We start from the raw sequence: 16,143 nt of genomic DNA, 5'->3' as shown, positions 1-16,143 counted from the left end.
AAACCAACCAGCCTGGGCAACATAGTAAGACCTTGTCTCCACAATATATATAAAAAAAAATTTTTTTTTTTTGGGTGAGGGCATGCAGTCTTGCTCTGTCGCCTGGGCTGAAGTGCAATGGCATGATCTCGGCTCACTGCAACCTCTGCCCCCCGGACTTATATGTTTTTAAAAAAACACTCATGGTGGGCTGGGCGTGGTGGCTCACACCTGTAATCCCAGCACCTTGGGAGGCCGAGGCAGGTGGATCACTTGAGGCCAACATGGTGAAACTCCATCTCTACTAAAAATACAAAAATTAGCCGAGCATGGTGGCAGACGCCTGTGGTCACAGCTACTTGGGAGGCTGGGGCAGGAGAATCACATGAACGGGGGAGGCGGAGGTTGCAGTGAGCCAATATTGTGCCATTGCACTCTAGCCTAGGTGACAGAGTAAGATTCTGGCTCAAAGAACCCCCCCTAAAACAAAACAAAAAACCCTGGTGGTGGAAGGAGGGCAGGAGAGAGGGCAGGCAGGCATCCAGCATTTACCCATCCATCCGCCCAGACTCCCATCCATCCATCCCCAAACACCCCCCCCATCATCCTCCCAACAGCCATGTCCACCCACTCACTTCCCCCACCCATCACTTCACCCACCCAGTGGGGCTCAGCACCGACGCGGCCCAGCCGTGTGGGAGACATGGAGGGCACAGCAACAACCAGGATGGACCAAACTGCCGCCCTCCTGAGCCCCAGCCTGGCGGAGCCACAGCCCACCCTCCCTCCACCACTCTCTGGTCACCCCATTTTCCAGAGGGGGAAACTGAGGGTCTATGAGGGAACTACATCGCTACCAAGAGGTGGAGCTGGGCTTGGCACTTGGGCCTGCCCAACTCTGCTTCTGGAGGGTGGCCCCATGCTCCCCCAGGTCTCTGGAAGGTACAGGGCAGGCATGCAAGGATGGGGTGTGGACTCACCAGGCTTCCTTGCTGGGCTGAAGCGTGGGGGGCTTCTTCAGGCCACTCAGTTTGCTCTCATACTGGGAGAAGAAAGGCGAGTGAGAGGCCTTTGCCTCCAGAAGCCTTCCCTCCCCCGACCAGCTTCCCCTCTAGCCTAGGATAAAGACGGGACAGGGGACCAGTGTCTCACCCAGGTGGGGGCCTGGCCCCAGCTACAGGATCCCCTGCCCATCACAATGAACCCCAGGGGAAGACCTGGGCTGGGCTGGGGAGTGGACGGAGAGGGTGACAGGCAGGCTGGAGCCCTGGGTGTCCTCTGCCTGGGTTCCCTCCGTCCCCTCGCCCAGGGCTGCCTCTGTGTGACCTCCCTCCTCTGCCGGATGCCTGCTTCCCACATCACCGCCCAGCACCCAGTGCCCCTGCCTCGCACAGTCTCTCTCCCAGTGTGGCTCCTGTCGTTTCGCCCCCCCGCCTCCCTTCCTGGCTTCCCCTCTTGTCCTCAGCGTCTGGCCTTCATTCTGGCATCTCCATCTCTGAGCTTCTCCCGGCCTCTTGGGTCCTGGTCCTCCCACCTGCTCCTCTCCTTGTCTTCTGTCTCCCCCACGTCTTACATCTACAAGTGGCCTCGGCCTCAGCTGTCCCCACCCTCTCACCCTTTCATTCTCGGTCCCTGATCTGCTCCGTCTCCGGTCTGTCTCATCTAAACCCGCCTTTCCTGTCCTGAGCTCACATCTTGTCATCTCAGCCCTGTCCTTCCCGTCCTGTGTCCATATCACCTGCTCTTTCCCCAGTCATAGTCCCTTACACTGTTGCCAGTAGTCTTGGTGCCGTCTCCGTCCCACCGTCTCCGTGTTTCTCCCTCATCTCTGGCTGCCTGTCTGGGTGTCATTCTGCCCTTCCTGTCCCTGCACGGCTGTTCGTGGTGTCTCAGCTGCCTGATGGTCCCAGCTTCATCCTGTCCGCGTCTTCCAGTGTCTCCCTGCCCCTGCCAGCCCCAGTTCCCAGTTCCCGAAGACTCCTGGTCCTGTCCTGACCCCTGCTCTAAGGGCCCCTTACCTGCAGCCCGGAGGGCTTCCCTGGCCCGGAGGAAGCGGCCTTGGCCACATTCAGGGTCGGGAGGTTGCTGGCAAAAGCCTTGTTCTCGGCTGGAAGCAGAGGAGGGAGGCCTGGGGGTGGGTGGGGTGGGGGAGACAGGGCCTGCGGTCACTGCATGAAGGCCCCCTCCTCAAACGGGAGCCCCATCCTGTACCCCACCGCTCTCCTCCTGGCCCTCCGGCCCTTCAAATCTGGGGCCAGCCCTGCCACCTCTGGCCTTCCTGTGTCCCTTGAGTTCTGGCTGATGCCCTGTGCTGAGTCCCACAGCCCTGCCCCAGCCCATTCTCCCTGCTCAGCCCCGCCCACCCATCTTCAGGCCCCGTCTCCCTGGGCACATAGGCGACCTCTCTCCTACCTGTGGCGGCCATGGGTGCCGGGGCGGGGGCGTGGCTGGGGGCAGTGGGGGTCCCAGATGGGGCCTGCCCACTGACCAGCACAGACGCAGCGGGGCTGGTGAGGGGCCCCAGGCTGGTGGAGGTCTGCGGGGCGGCAGGGGCCCCCCCAGCCTTGTTCTGGAGGATGATTCCGGACGGCACCTGAGGAGGGGACAGGTGGATGAGGGGTGGGGAACATAGGCTAGGTGTAGGGGTGTCCAGACGCAGCAGGGCTGGGGAGGATCACAGAGCCGTAAGGCGGAGGGGCTCCCATCAGACTGAGAGGGTGGGATGGGATGGGGCTGATGGGGCGGGCAGTCCCTGCCTCCCGTTACCTGGTGAAATCTCTCGAGAAGAGCCTTCGGCTGGGGCAGCGCTGGGAAGGGGGTGGTCACCATCTGGAAGGTCCGAGGAGGCGGTGGGGGGGGTGCTGCCGGCTCAGGGACCAGGTGGAGGGTTGGAGGGGGAGTGGGGGACTTGTGGGGCCCCTGGCTGGGTGGGAACTGGAGCTGGAAGTCGGATGGCGTAGGGGCTGGCAACCTGGAGGACGTCTCAGAGGAGGAGGCCACAGCAGAGGAGGTGGAGGATGGAGGGAGGTGGGGGGCTGGGGGCAGCGGTCCCTCAGGCGGCTGGGACTGGGGGCGGAGAGGCGGCTGCGGCGGGCCTGGGGCAGTAGGGGCCGGGTTGCTGGCAGGCGGGGGAACGCCTAGCTGGTTTTGGATGACAAAGATGCCAGGCAGAGTTGGGGGGGCCTGGGGTGGGGGGCAAGGGTGCAAGGGTGGCTCTGAGGGAGGGCGGGACACACTCTGTGGCCGGGAGGGTGGGCGGGAAGGGGGCCGGGTGGGGTGTGGGGAGGGCAGGTGGGGGCTGTCCCCCAGAGGGGCCTGGTGAGGTAGTGACGGGGACGAAGAGGGGCCTGGGCCCTTCAGCGGAGCCGCTGCCGGGATCTGGGCAGGGGAGGGAGGGAGAGGGGAGGGGCGGGGGTCAGAACCAACCATAGCTCCTGTTGCCCCAAGACACTGGGGTCCCCAGCCATCCCCGCCAGAAGCCCCCTTCCTAGCCCACACCCATCCTGAGAGAGGAGCCCACCACGGCTGCCCTTCCCTCCCTCGCCTCTCATTCCCCACAGCACCCCCTCCACCTGCCCTCGACCTCTGTCCCCCACCGCAGCTCCTCCACATTTCTCTGGCCTCCGATCTCAACCCCACTTCTGCCCCATTCCCCCCACCCCTCGCAGTTCCCCAGACAAAGGCGAGCCCTGCAGGGTTGGGGTGGCAGCAGCAGAGGAAGCAGAGGCAGTGGTGGCGGTGGCAGCAGGGGCACCACACCCGCTGCCCAGCAGGAGGCAGGAGGGCCGGGCGGCGAGCACAGCAGCGGGGAAGGAGGGCAGGCAGGGCAGCGTCCCAGCCGCCAGCCCCCACCAGCCCATCCAGCCAAGTCAAGGCAAAGAGACACCAGCATGATGCTGTGTACCATGGCTCGGGGTTGATGGCCACGGCACGGGGGCTGCCGAGAATACGGATGGCCACACAGGGACAGGCCTGGGTTCACAGCCACGTGTGGACCTCTGGATGCGGGCATGGGAAGGCCTGGACCCCCTTCTAAGTGTCCTGGGCACCTGCCTCTGTGTGCCTGTGTGTCCATGGCTGCAGGCCTACCTGGGCGCCACGTGAGCTTGCAGGTACAAGCGTGCATGCGTGTGCACGACGTACCAGACTCTGATGAAGCCTGTGTCTGCAAGCACACGCGATCTGGTGCTAGTTCTGTCACACGCACACAGCCACCTCGCCTAAAGCATGTCTCAGACGGAGCACCTTGCCGTTCTGGACCCTCCTCCCAAAGAATCATAACCAGAGCAGCCACTGTGTAACCAGTGGGCACCAGCTGTGCACCCAACACTGGGCTGGCACCGTGATACTTGCTGTCACAGAATCTGCATCCTAGTAACAGCTCATGCTGATCTAACACGAATGGCCGGCCTCCCGCATCCATTTGTGTGATCTCTCCCTAGCCCTGAGGGCAGTGGTAACACTGGACCCATTTCACAGATAAGAAACTGAGGCCAAGGCTCCAAAACTGGTCCAGACTCTCCAGGCTGGTGAAGGCGGAACTGAGGCCTTTACACTGCTCAGTGACTTCTGAGCCATTTCTCAAAGCTGACTGAGTTCAGGCTCAGAGGGCTCAGGATATCTGCCCGAGGACAGCCAGCACCACCACACTCCAGAACCGGGCATCTCGGCATGACATCAGATTCACCACCAGCTTTGGCCTCTAAGTCCCAGGGCCCTTCCAGCATCCCTTCCAAGCTGGGCCCTGAGTAACTTCTGACAGTTAAAGAACCAAACCAAACCAATCAATCAATCAGTCTTCAAAAGGTTTGCCACCTCTAAGAAGAGATGAGAGGCGCAGTCCTTGGCGCTGTGTACGGCTGGTGGGACTGCCTCCTGGAAGGCAGCTTGGTCTGGGGACTTTGAAAGGGTCACAACTTTGACCTGGAAATTCCCCTCCAGGAATCTGTGATGAAGAATATTCGGCCGGGCACGGTGGCTCACGCCTGTAATCCCAGCACTTTGGGAGGCTGAGGCGGGCAGATAACCAGAGGTCAGGAGTTCGAGACCAGCCTGATCAATATGATGAAACCCTGTCTCTACTAAAAATACAAAAATAATTAGCCGGGCATGGTGGCATGCACCTGTAATCCCAGTTACTCAGGAGACTGAGGCTGGAGAATTGCTTGAACCCAGGAGGCGGAGGTTGTAGTGAAATGAGATCGCGCCACTGCACTCCAGCCTGGGCACAAGAGTGAAACTCCGTCTCAAAAAAAAAAAAGAATATTCAAGTACTTGCTATGGGGTTGCCCACTTTGGGAGCATTTACAATAGAGGAAAAGGAGAAATGACTCAAATGGCCAATGGCAGGTGCGTCGCTGAGTCGGAGAAAAGAGAACTGGCCCACTCAGTAGGTTCCAAGGGCTCAGGGAGGTGGCCCACATGCAGCGGCACTCCAATGCTACATGAAATAGGAGAATAATACAACATTACAGGATCCCTGGGCACCTGGTAAAGTTGGATTATGGACAGAGGATATGACAACAGTATCATGTCAATGCTGTCTGCTTTATTTCTTTGCAGTATGATGGTTAAGTAAGAGAATGTCCTTGTTCTCCAAGGCTGAAATATTATACTAAAATATTAAGGGGTAGGCTGGCCGCGGTGGCTCACGCTTGCAATCCCAGCACTTTGGGAGGCCAAGGCAGGTGGATCACTTGAGCCCAGGAGTTTGAGACCAGCCTAGTCAACATGGTGAAACCCCATCTGTACTAAAAACACAAAAATTAGCAGGGTGCGATGTGTGCCTGTAATCCCGGCCACTCAGGAGGCTGAGGCAAGAGAATTGCTTGAACCTGGGAGGCAGAGGCTACAGTGAGCCAAGATTGTACCACTGCACTCCAGACTAGGCGACAGAGTGAGACTCAGACTCAAAAATAAATAAATACATAAATAAATAAAATAAAATATTAAGGGGCAAACGGGTATAATGGTTGCAACTTACTCTCAACTGATTCAGAAAAAAGTGTACACAGAATGAGAATGCTAAGGTCAAGGCAGATGTAGCAAAAGGCTGACAATGGGTAGACGTGGGAGGCAGCCACCAACAATCCTCACCTCCTTGTGTTCAGTCCCCTCCCATATGCTGGTCTTTGTGGCCAATAGAATTTGGCAGAAGTGATTATATGACACTTCCAAGATTAGTTATAAAAAGCCTGCGGCTCCCATCCTGAGCATTCTGTCTGTTTCTATTGGGTCACTCACTTTGCGGGAAGCCAACCGCTGTGTGTCATGTGCTGCCCTTTGGAGAGGCCCACTGAGGAAGCAATTGAGGCCTCCTGCTAATAGCCACACAAGTGAGCGTGGGAGCAGGTTCTCCAGATCAGTGGGACCTTCAGATGACCACAACTTCATGGGAGATCCAGAGCTAGAACCTCCTAGCTAAGCTGCTTTCAGATTCCTAATGTTTAGAAACAGTGTGAGACACGTGAATACTTGCTGTTTGAAGCTGCTAAGTTTTGAGGGTAATTTCCTGCATAGCAATAGATAACTAATACATCTAGTTGAGGAGTAAAGAACTCCTATGAGCTCTCTGTACTAATTCTGAAACTTTTTATGTGTTTGAAGTCATTTAAACATAAAAAGCTTAAAGATACCAAAAAATTAAAAAAATTTAATTTCATTCTCATCAAAAGTGCGCACACACACACACACACACACAATCCACAAATTAAGTCACATGCCAAATGACTTACTGGGGAAAACAGTTGCAACTCCAAATACAAAGTTCATCTCTCTCATATATAGAGAGACTCTAGAAATCACTAAGAATTACAACTGGTGAAAAAGGGGCAAAGGATATGATCAGACAGTGCACAGAAAAGGAAAGACAAAAGGCTTAAGTATTTTCAGAGCTACTCAACCTCACTTGTAATAAGAGAAATGCACAGCAAAACGCACCCCAGGGCACTATTTTTCACCCTAGGGTACCATTTACCACCCGTCGCATTAGGAATAAAGCCTATGTCTAGTAAAGATGCTTGTATATACTGCCCTTAGGGGTCTCAACTGGCACAATTTGCTACAACTCAAGAGGAACGCAATTCAGCAGTAGCTATCCAAGTTATAAATGCACATTTGCTTTAGTCCAGCAAACAGGCTTCCAGGAAGTAAACAGACCTGCATATGTGGGAAATAACAGGTGAACAAGTAGGCCGGGCGCGGTGGCTCACACCTGTAATCCCAGCACTTTGGGAGGCTGAGGCGGGTGGATCACCTGAGGTCAGGAGTTTGAGACCAGCCTGGCCAACATGGTGAAACCCCGTCTCTATTAAAAATACAAAAATTAGCTGGGCATGGTGGCGTGCACCTGTAATCCCAGCTACTAGGGAGGCTGAGTCAGGAGAATTGCTTGAACCTGGGAGGCGGAGGTTGCAGTGAGCCAGTATCACGCCATTGCACTCCAGCCTGGGCAAAAAGAGCGAAACTCTGTCTCAAAAACAAAAACAAAAACAAAACAGGTGAACAAGTTGTTTCCTGCAGCTTCGTGTAGAACGCCAAAATCTGGATATGGTCTAAAGTGCATCAATATGGCATTTCCTGGGGAAATGAACTGTGGCTCTTCTGTACAAAGGAATACTTCAAGACTCTAACAGAAAACAAGCAAACTCACTGTTGCTGCCACAGTAAGTACATAATGAGCTCCCCTTTGGGTACAAATGGGAGAGAAACGTAAACCATATTTGCACTAGGTTGTATATACACGAAGAACTGGAAAGGGATACAAAAATTAGGCCAGGTGGCCAGGCGTGGTGGCTCACGCCTATAATAATCCCAGTACTTTGGGAGGCCAGGCAGGCGGATCACCTGAGGTCAGGAGTTCAAGACCAGCCTGGCCAACATGGCGAAACCCTGTCTCTACTAAAAATACAGAAATTAGCAGGGCGGGATGGTGTGCACCTGTAATCCCAGCTACTCCGGAGGCTGAGGCAGGGAGAACTGCTTGAACCCAGCAGGCGTAGCTTGCAGTGAGCCAAGATCTTGCCACTGCACTCCAGCCTGGGCGACAGAGAGAGACTCAGTCTCAGAAAAAATAAATAAAAATAAATTAGGCCAGGCTCAGTGGCTCATGCCTGTAATCCCAGCACTCTCGGAGGCCAAGGCAGGAGGACTGCTTGAGCCCAGGAGTTCAAGACCAGCCTGGGCAACAGAGCAAGACCCTGTCTCTGGAAAAAAAGAAAAAAAAACTTTCTGATGATCATACTATGTGAATAAAATGACTTATTTAAAAAATGTTTTAAATAAAATTGGGGTCGGGGGGTTAAACAGAAACTTCATACCAAAATATTACTTCTTCTACAATATTTGTCTTAGAAAAAACAAAGCTAGGCCTGGCATAGTGGCTCACACCTGTAATCCCAGCACTTTGGGATGCCAAGGCGGGTGGATCACTTGAGGTCAGGAGTCCAAGACCAGCCTGGCCAACATGGTGAAACCTCGTCTCTCTAAAAATACAAAAATTAGCCGGGCTTGCTGGCATGTGCCTGTAAATCCAAGTTACTTGGGAGGCTGAGGCAGAAGAATTGCTCCAATCCCAGAGACAGAGGTTGCCGTGAGCCGAGATCGCGCCACTGCACTCCAGCCCGGGCGAGAGAGAGAGAGAGACTCTGTCTCAAAAACAAAAAATAAAACAAAACAAAGAAAAAAAAATTTTTTTTTTTTGAGACGGAGTCTCGCTCTGTCACCCAGGCTGGAATGCAGTGGCTCAATCTCAGCTCGCTTGCTGCAACCTCCGCCTCCCGGGTTCAAGCAATTCTCCTGCCTCAGCCTCCTGAGTAGCTGGGATTACAGGCACACACCACCATGCCCAGCTAATTTTTGTATTTTTAGTAGAGACGGGGTTTCACCATGTTGGCCAGGATGGTCTCGATATCTTGACCTCGTGATCCACCCAACTCGGCTTCCCAAAATGTTGGGATTACAGGCATGAGCCACTGTGCCTGGCCAGAAAAAATTTTTTTTTACCAACTGCTTGCACACAGTGGTATTACATGTGACTTATTTTTCTTCTTTGTTCTTTTCTGTATTTTCTACATTCTCTAAATGAGCACAAAATTATTATTATTATTTGGTCTTCAACTGCTAGCCTCAAGTGATCCCCCATCTTAGCTTCCCAAAGCAAAAAAACTAACATATGAGTGGATTGTTCACCAAGAGATTCCCTCCTTCTCTTCCTTCCATTTCTTTCTTTCTTCAGAAATGAGATCTCGCTATGTTGTTCAGGCTGACCTCAAACTCCTGGGCTCAGGTGATCCTCCTGCCTCAGCCTCCCTCCTGAGTAGCTGGGACTACAGGCATGAGCCACCACGCCCAGCTTCCAAGAGATTTCGAGAGCCCCACGTGGAGGCGGCAAGATGCTCAACTTCACACACAATTAGAGAAAAGCACAGGGGGTGTGTCACTTTCCAGCCTGGCAAAGAACAGGCCAGCTGCTAATCTCGTGTGTCAGTAAAGCTGCAGGACCAAGTGAAGCCATCACTGGCATGAACCTTTTCAAAAAGGTTTAGCACTTTCCACAAAATGGCTGGAAAGCTTATCATCTACGTCTGGCAATTCTATTTCTAGAAATTTACCCTACAAGTACTTTCATACCTGTGTGCAAAGCATGGGTGCAAGTTTTTTTTTTTTTTTTTGAGGCAGAGTCTCACTCTGCTGCCTAGGCTAGAGTGTAGTGGCACGATCTCAGCTCACTGCAACCCTCTCTAGGCTCACTACAATCTCCGCCTCCCAGGTTCAAGGGATTCCCCTGCCTCAGCCTCCCAAGTAGCATAGCTGGGATTACAGGTGCCCACCATCACGCCTGGCTCATTTTTGTATTTTTAGTAGAGATGGGGTTTCCCCATGTTGGCCAGGCTGGTCTCACACTCCTGACCTCAGGTGATTGCCCGCCTCGGCCTCCCAAAGTGCTGAGACTACAGGTGTGAGCCAACACGCTCAGTCAAGAATATCTTATAGGAGTTTTGTTTGTTAACAATGACAAATAAACCACCTGAAGTATTCCTCAAGAGGGGACTGAATAAAGAAATAATGGTATGTCCATATCACAAAACACAATAAAGACATCAAAAGAAAGAGGCAAACTATAGCCCACAAGCCAAGAATAATTTTTACATTTTTAAACAGTTGAAGAAAAAAAATCATAAGAATACTATTTCGTGACTTGCAAAAATTACATGAAATTCCAATTTCAGTGTCCTTAAATAAAGTTTTATTGGAACACTCCCGTGTTCATTCATTTACATATGGTCTGTGGCTGCTTTTGTGCTATAATAACAGAGACCATATGGCCCGCAAAAGCCTGAAACGTTTACTATTGCCTCTTTATAGAAAGTTGCCCAGAAAAATAAACAAATAAATGAATAAAAATCAAATAAGCAAAAAGAAAGTTTGCCTGGCTTCTTTCCCTTCATAGCTCTTTCAACATGCCCAACTCTGTTCTAAAACATTTTAATGTTAATATACATCTATTAATTTACAGATATTAGTTTATTTAACCCTCACAGCTCTACAAAGTAGCCGCTGTTCCTATCATTCTGATTCTGCACGCAAGGACACCGTGGTACAACAGAGAGGCAAGCAGCCTGCTGAAGGTCACAGGGCCTGTAAGTGGCCAAGTCCTATTTCCTAACTCCCACATCACAGCAATCTTCCCAGATGGTAGCTTGCAAAAAAACCCCCAAAAATAAAAACACACCCCTACACATAGTAACCATTGGTAATGGCTCAAGTCATCTTAGGGAGTTGGAACCAGCACTTAAAAAGAACAGTAGAGGCTGGGCGCAGTGGCTCACGCCTGTAATCTCAGCACTTTGGGAGGCCAAGGTGGGCAGATCACCTGAGGTCAGGAGTTTGAGACCACCCTCGGCAACATGGTGAAACCTTGTCTCAACTAAAAATACAAAAATCAGCTTGGCATGGTGGGGCACTCCTGTAATCCCAGCTACTTGGGAAGCTGAGGCAGGAGAATCGCTTGAACCTGGGAGGTGGAGGTTGCAGTGAGCCGAGATAGTGCCACTACACTCCAGCCTGGGCAGCAGAGGGAGACTCCATGCCTCCCCGCTAACCCCAGAAAAAACAATGGAAACAAAATAGAAAATATTGATGTGTATCACACATTGTAATATAGGTAATATTTCATGAAACTTTTGTTTCAGTGATATGTGTATATATACAAATACATATATGTATGCATGTCCTGGGTGGTGACATAAAATGAAATTCTTGTGCCGGGCATGGTGGCTCATGCCTGTAATCCCAGGACTTTGGGAGGCCAAGGCAGACAGATCACCTGAGGTAAGGAGTTCAAGACCAGCCTGGCCAACATGGAGAAAACCTGTCTCTACTAAAAATACAAATATTAGCTGGATGCGGTGGCGTGCGCCTGTAGTCCCAGCTACTCGGGAGGCTGAGGCAGGAGAATCGCTTGAACCTGGGAGGTGAAGGTTGCAGTTAGCCAAGATCGTGCCACTGCACTCCAGCCTGGGTGACAGAGAAAAAAAAAAAAAAACAAATTCTTATCCCGGGTGGTGGGTCAAGGAAAAAAAAAGGTCTGAAAGCCAGTGCTCCAAGATGCGTTGCTAAATAAGCAAAGCCAGATGCAGAACACAGTCTTTGCATTTCTGTTTGTGTTAACACAAAGGGAAAATGTACGCATGCGCGCGCGCGCGCACACACACACACACACACACACACACACACACACACACACACACAGAGGCTGCCAAATCCATCTGGGTACAGAGAGCACAGAGTTCCTTCCGAGTGCAGGGGTTGGAGTTCGGACAGTAAGGGAACCACTATTCTTACAAACAGTAAGAATCACCCAGATTGGGAACTGCTATTCCGTGCATTCCTGCATATCCACAGGATAGCGGTTCCCAGTCTGGATGATTCTGTCCCCACCAGGGGACACTTGGCCAATCACCCAGTCACACACCCACCCATGCCATCCATCCGTCCGTCTATTCAGCCATCCATCTGTCCATCCATTTGCTCACCCAACAAACATTCACTGACCACCTTCTGTCATGCTGGGTCCCCACTGCTGCAGATACAGCTACTGCGGAGGGCCCTACCTTGTGCCTCCGAGCCTCTGTGTGTGACTAAGAATCAGCTCGTGTGCACACCTGCCTGTGCGCACTAAGCTTCCTTCTCAAAGGTCATCCGCGTGGCCAGGCACAGTGGCTCACGTCCATAATCCCAGCCCTGTGAGAAGCCAAGGTGGGAGGATTACTAAGCCTAGGAGTTCGAGACCAGCCTGGGCTGCATAGTGAGACCCCATATCTCCCCCACAAAACAAAATACAAAAAAAAAAAAAATTAGCTGTGCGTGGTGGCACATGCCTGTAGTCCCAGCTACTTCGGAGGCTGAGGTGGGAGGATCACTTAAGCATGGGAGGCGGAGGTTGTAGGAGTCAATATTGCACCAGTGTACTCCAGCCTGGGTGACAGAACCAGACCCTGTTTCCAAAAAAATAAGTTCAGCTACAGCATCATTACTGCAACTGCTAACAGTAAGTGTCTGTTCACTGAGCGCTGGCTCTGTGCAGTGCCATCATGTCAGGTCACTGGGCTTATTCCCATTTTAGATGCAAAATCCATGCCTCAGAGAGCTCCACTAAGCAGAGCTGGATTCACACCCAGGTCTGGCTTTCTCAAGACTTCAGGTGTTTCCAGCAATAAGCCCCCAGGGTTTTTAATCCAGGCCCTACCATTTGCCAGCTGTGCAACCTTGGGCAAGCTAATTATTCTCCCTGTGCCTCTGTTTCCTCACCTGCAAAATGAGATGCTACCACCTACCTGGTGGAGGTGGTGAGGTTTAAATGAGAGAGTGCTAGGCCGGGCGCGGTGTCTCACACCTGTCATCCCAGCACTCTGGGAGGCTGAGGTGGGTGGATCACCTGAGGTCAGGAGTTTGAGACCAGCCTGGCCAACATGGCGAAACCCCATCTCTCTACTAAAAATATAGAAATTAGCCAGGCATGGTGGCGGGCGCCTGTAAATCCCAGCAATTTGGGAGGCCGAGGCAGGTGGTTCACCTGAGGTCAGGCGTTTGAGACCAGCTTGGCCAACATGGTGATACACTATCTCTACTAAAAATATGAAAATTAGCCAAACATGGTGGCAGGCACCTGTAATCCCAGCTACCCAGAAGCTGAGGCAGGAGAATCACTTGAACCCAGGAGGTGGAGATTGCAGCGAGCCGAGATCTTGCCACTGCACTGCAGCCTAGGCGACGGAGTGGGACTCTGTCCCCCTCAAGATAATAGTAATAATAATAAAAGCAAACATTTATCAAGTGCTTACTTTGTGCTAAGCATATAGTAACTCGTTTACTCCACCTAAGTGCTCCCTCAGCCTGCCTAGGCACCTGCTGATGGAATGAAAAACTGGTTGCTGAAGGTTAAATGGTAAGTGGGAGAGCGTGCAAGTGAAACCATGGCCGTTCGAGGTCAAAGCCTGTGCTGACTTCTGCCATCCTGCCCTTGTCACTGTCACACTCTCCTCTTCCTACCTATCCACTGGTCTTTTTTGAATGAGTACCACATTCACTGCTCTAGAATAAGAAGGTAGGCCAGGTGCGGTGGCTCACGCCTATAATCCCAGCACTTTGGGAGGCTGAGGCGGGTGGATAACGAGGTCAGGAGATCGAGACCATCCTGGCTAACATGGTGAAACCCCGTCTCTACTAAAAATACAAAAAATTAGCCCGGCGTGGTGGCGGGCGCCTGTAGTCCCAGCTACTCGGGAGGCTGAGGCAGGAGAATGGCGTGAACCCGAGAGGCGGAGCTTGCAGTGAGCAGAGATCGCGACACCGCACTCCAGCCTGGGCAACAGAGCGAGACTCCATCTCAAAAAAAAAAAAAGAACGTAGCCCTCCCTAACCTGTTATGTTATGACTCGTAAGCATAATGGTTATTACTTTAAGACAAAAGGCTAATTTTCCTAATATGTAAAGAGTTTCTACAAATCTACAGCAAAATGACAGCAACCCAGATTTTACAATGGCAAAGGGTATGAGCAGTTTCATAGAACAGAAAGTACAAATGGCTCTTACTTTTATGAAAATCTGCCCGACCTCATTCACAATAAAAGAAATGCAAATGAAAACAAAACAAGATACTATTTTTCACCTATCTAGATTGGCCAAGTTCAACATACTGGTGAGGTTGCGGGGGGCGGGGGAAAAAAGGCACAACCACATATTGCTGATAAAGGTTAAACTAATTTACACTCCACAGGCGGCAATTTGGCAATGTCTGTCAGAGATAAAAATGCATATGCCTTTAGAGCCAGCAAATTCCTTTTGAAGAACTTACCCTACAAAACGACATACATACAAAGGCATTCTTTGCAGCCTTGTTCATAATAGCTAGAGATCAGAAGTGACCTAAAAACCTAACAACAATTTAGACTGGCTAAATAAATATCCGCACACCCACACAGTGGAATACTACGCAGTCACACAAGAGAATGAAGAATGGGGCCAGGCACAGTGGCCTACACATGTAATCTCAGCACTTTGGGAGGCTGAGGCGGGCGGATCACTTGAGGTCTGGAGTTCAAGACCAGCCTGGGCAACATGGTGAAACCCCGTCTCTATTAAAAATACAAAAATTAGCCCAGCATGGTGGCGGGCACCTGTAACTCCAGCTACGCGGGAGGTGGAGGCAGGAGAATCACTTAAACATCGGAGGCGGAGGTTGCAGTGAGCCAAGATCGCGCCACTGCACTCCAGCCTGGGTGATAGAGTGAGACTCCATTTCAAAAAAAAAAAAAGAGAGAGAGAATGAAGAATGGTCTCCAAGATCAATTTTTAAATAATAAAAGATGCAATACCGCAGGCAGAAGATGCTACCCTTTTTGTAAAAATTGAAGGAAAAGAATCTATTTGATTCTGTTTCCCTATCCAGATAACAAATGCAAGAAACCACCTTGGGAGGACAACAGGAGGCCACGGTTCAGGAGACGGGGGCTTTCCACTATGCATCTTTTTGTACCGTTTGAAATGTGAATTATCTGAATGTATTACTTATTCAGATTTGAAAATTATAATTTTAGGAAAGAACAGATTTCCTTCCGTGTGTGTCTTGCATTCCTGCAGCGCGTGGGCTCCCCCAGGGCCGGCCCTGGTCTCAGGCATCCATGATCACTAGGAGACACTTGGGGGGTGAAGGAGAGCTCTGTGTTCCAAGTCAGCAGAACAGAGACGCAGGCAGGGCGGAGAGCGAGGAGCGGGAGAGCGGGCAGGAGGGGCGAGGCTGGGTCTGTGCTGCGGACACAGGCTGCTGGGGTCCCTCTACCTGGGGGGCCGGAGCCGGGGAAGCCTGGCTGTCGGGGGCCTGAGGGCCGAGGCCAGCTCCTTTGGCGACGGGGGTGGCTGGGGCTGGGTCTTGGGCGGGAGGCGGGGCGCTGACTATGACCGAGGCAGGCACGGAGAGGTGGGGGCCCTCTGCGGAGAGGGGCTGCTGGCTCCTCTCCTGCAACGGGCAGCCCGCACAGGATCAGAAAGCCGCCCCCACAGGCCCTCGACCTCCCCACCCGAGACCCCTGCCCCTATTGACGCTCCCAGGGTTCCAGAGAATGGGGTAGTGGGCAGCCTGGCAGGCAGGGTGCCAGGCACAGAGGCCGAAACCCAGGCAGCCTGCTCCATTCTGAGCTCCCATTGGCCCCTCTGCCAGCTCCACGTTGCCCTGCCTCTCTCCTGCCCCACCTGCCTGTCCCTCTGTCCCTGTCTCGTCCACTTTCTCTCTGAGATTCCTCTCCTTGTCTGTCAGCAGGCCAGCCAGTGCCTGCCCTTCTCTGTCCGTCGGGTAGTCCCTCTCCCTGCCGGTCCCTCTCCTCTCCATCTGTCAGCAGCCCAGCCAGTGCCTACCCTTCTGTCTGTTCACTGGTCCCTCTCTTTGTCTGTCTGTCTGCCAGTCCCTCTCACTGCCTAACAGTTGTCCTGCCCCTTGTCTATCAGTCAGCCAACCTGCCAATCCATCTTCCTGCCAGTTCAGCCAGGGCCCTCACCCTTCGGGCCTCCTCTTAGGGGCCACCTGTGCCATGACTGAGACCTTCCCCCCCCAGCTGCCACAGTGGCATCCACTTTTGGATCTTGGCGCCTCGCCCCAGGACCCCTCTT

The 16,143-nt window shown here is 52.4% G+C and overlaps 1 protein-coding gene across 2 annotated transcripts in view, besides 2 other annotated features; it reads right to left on the bottom strand.

Annotated features, from left to right (window-relative positions):
- BICRA (BRD4 interacting chromatin remodeling complex associated protein) overlaps nt 1-16,143 on the bottom strand; it is a 95,082-nt gene that overhangs the window by 5,806 nt on the left and 73,133 nt on the right. For both annotated transcript variants that reach the window (NM_015711.3, NM_001394372.1), the window contains exons 7-11: nt 15,320-15,496; nt 2,746-3,357; nt 2,392-2,572; nt 1,998-2,107; nt 960-1,021 (exon numbers count right to left, since the gene is read on the bottom strand). In NM_015711.3, the coding sequence (NP_056526.3) occupies nt 960-1,021; nt 1,998-2,107; nt 2,392-2,572; nt 2,746-3,357; nt 15,320-15,496 (1,142 nt within the window). The remainder of the gene's footprint in view (nt 1-959; nt 1,022-1,997; nt 2,108-2,391; nt 2,573-2,745; nt 3,358-15,319; nt 15,497-16,143) is intronic.
- Nucleotides 3,287-3,844: an enhancer, noted in NCBI's record as "H3K27ac-H3K4me1 hESC enhancer chr19:48196885-48197442 (GRCh37/hg19 assembly coordinates)". NCBI's record gives its function as "activates a minimal SCP1, AML or CMV promoter by ChIP-STARR-seq in naive H9 embryonic stem cells {active_cell/tissue: H9 hESC(naive)}" and the evidence as "EXISTENCE:reporter gene assay evidence [ECO:0000049][PMID:30033119]".
- Nucleotides 3,845-4,404: an enhancer, noted in NCBI's record as "H3K27ac-H3K4me1 hESC enhancer chr19:48196325-48196884 (GRCh37/hg19 assembly coordinates)". NCBI's record gives its function as "activates a minimal SCP1, AML or CMV promoter by ChIP-STARR-seq in naive H9 embryonic stem cells {active_cell/tissue: H9 hESC(naive)}" and the evidence as "EXISTENCE:reporter gene assay evidence [ECO:0000049][PMID:30033119]".

Source organism: Homo sapiens, chromosome 19 (assembly GCF_000001405.40).
Source record: "Homo sapiens chromosome 19, GRCh38.p14 Primary Assembly".
Taxonomy (NCBI): Eukaryota; Metazoa; Chordata; class Mammalia; order Primates; family Hominidae; genus Homo; species Homo sapiens.
Note: the sequence above shows the minus strand (reverse complement) of the source record. Positions and strands in the feature narration are given on the sequence as shown.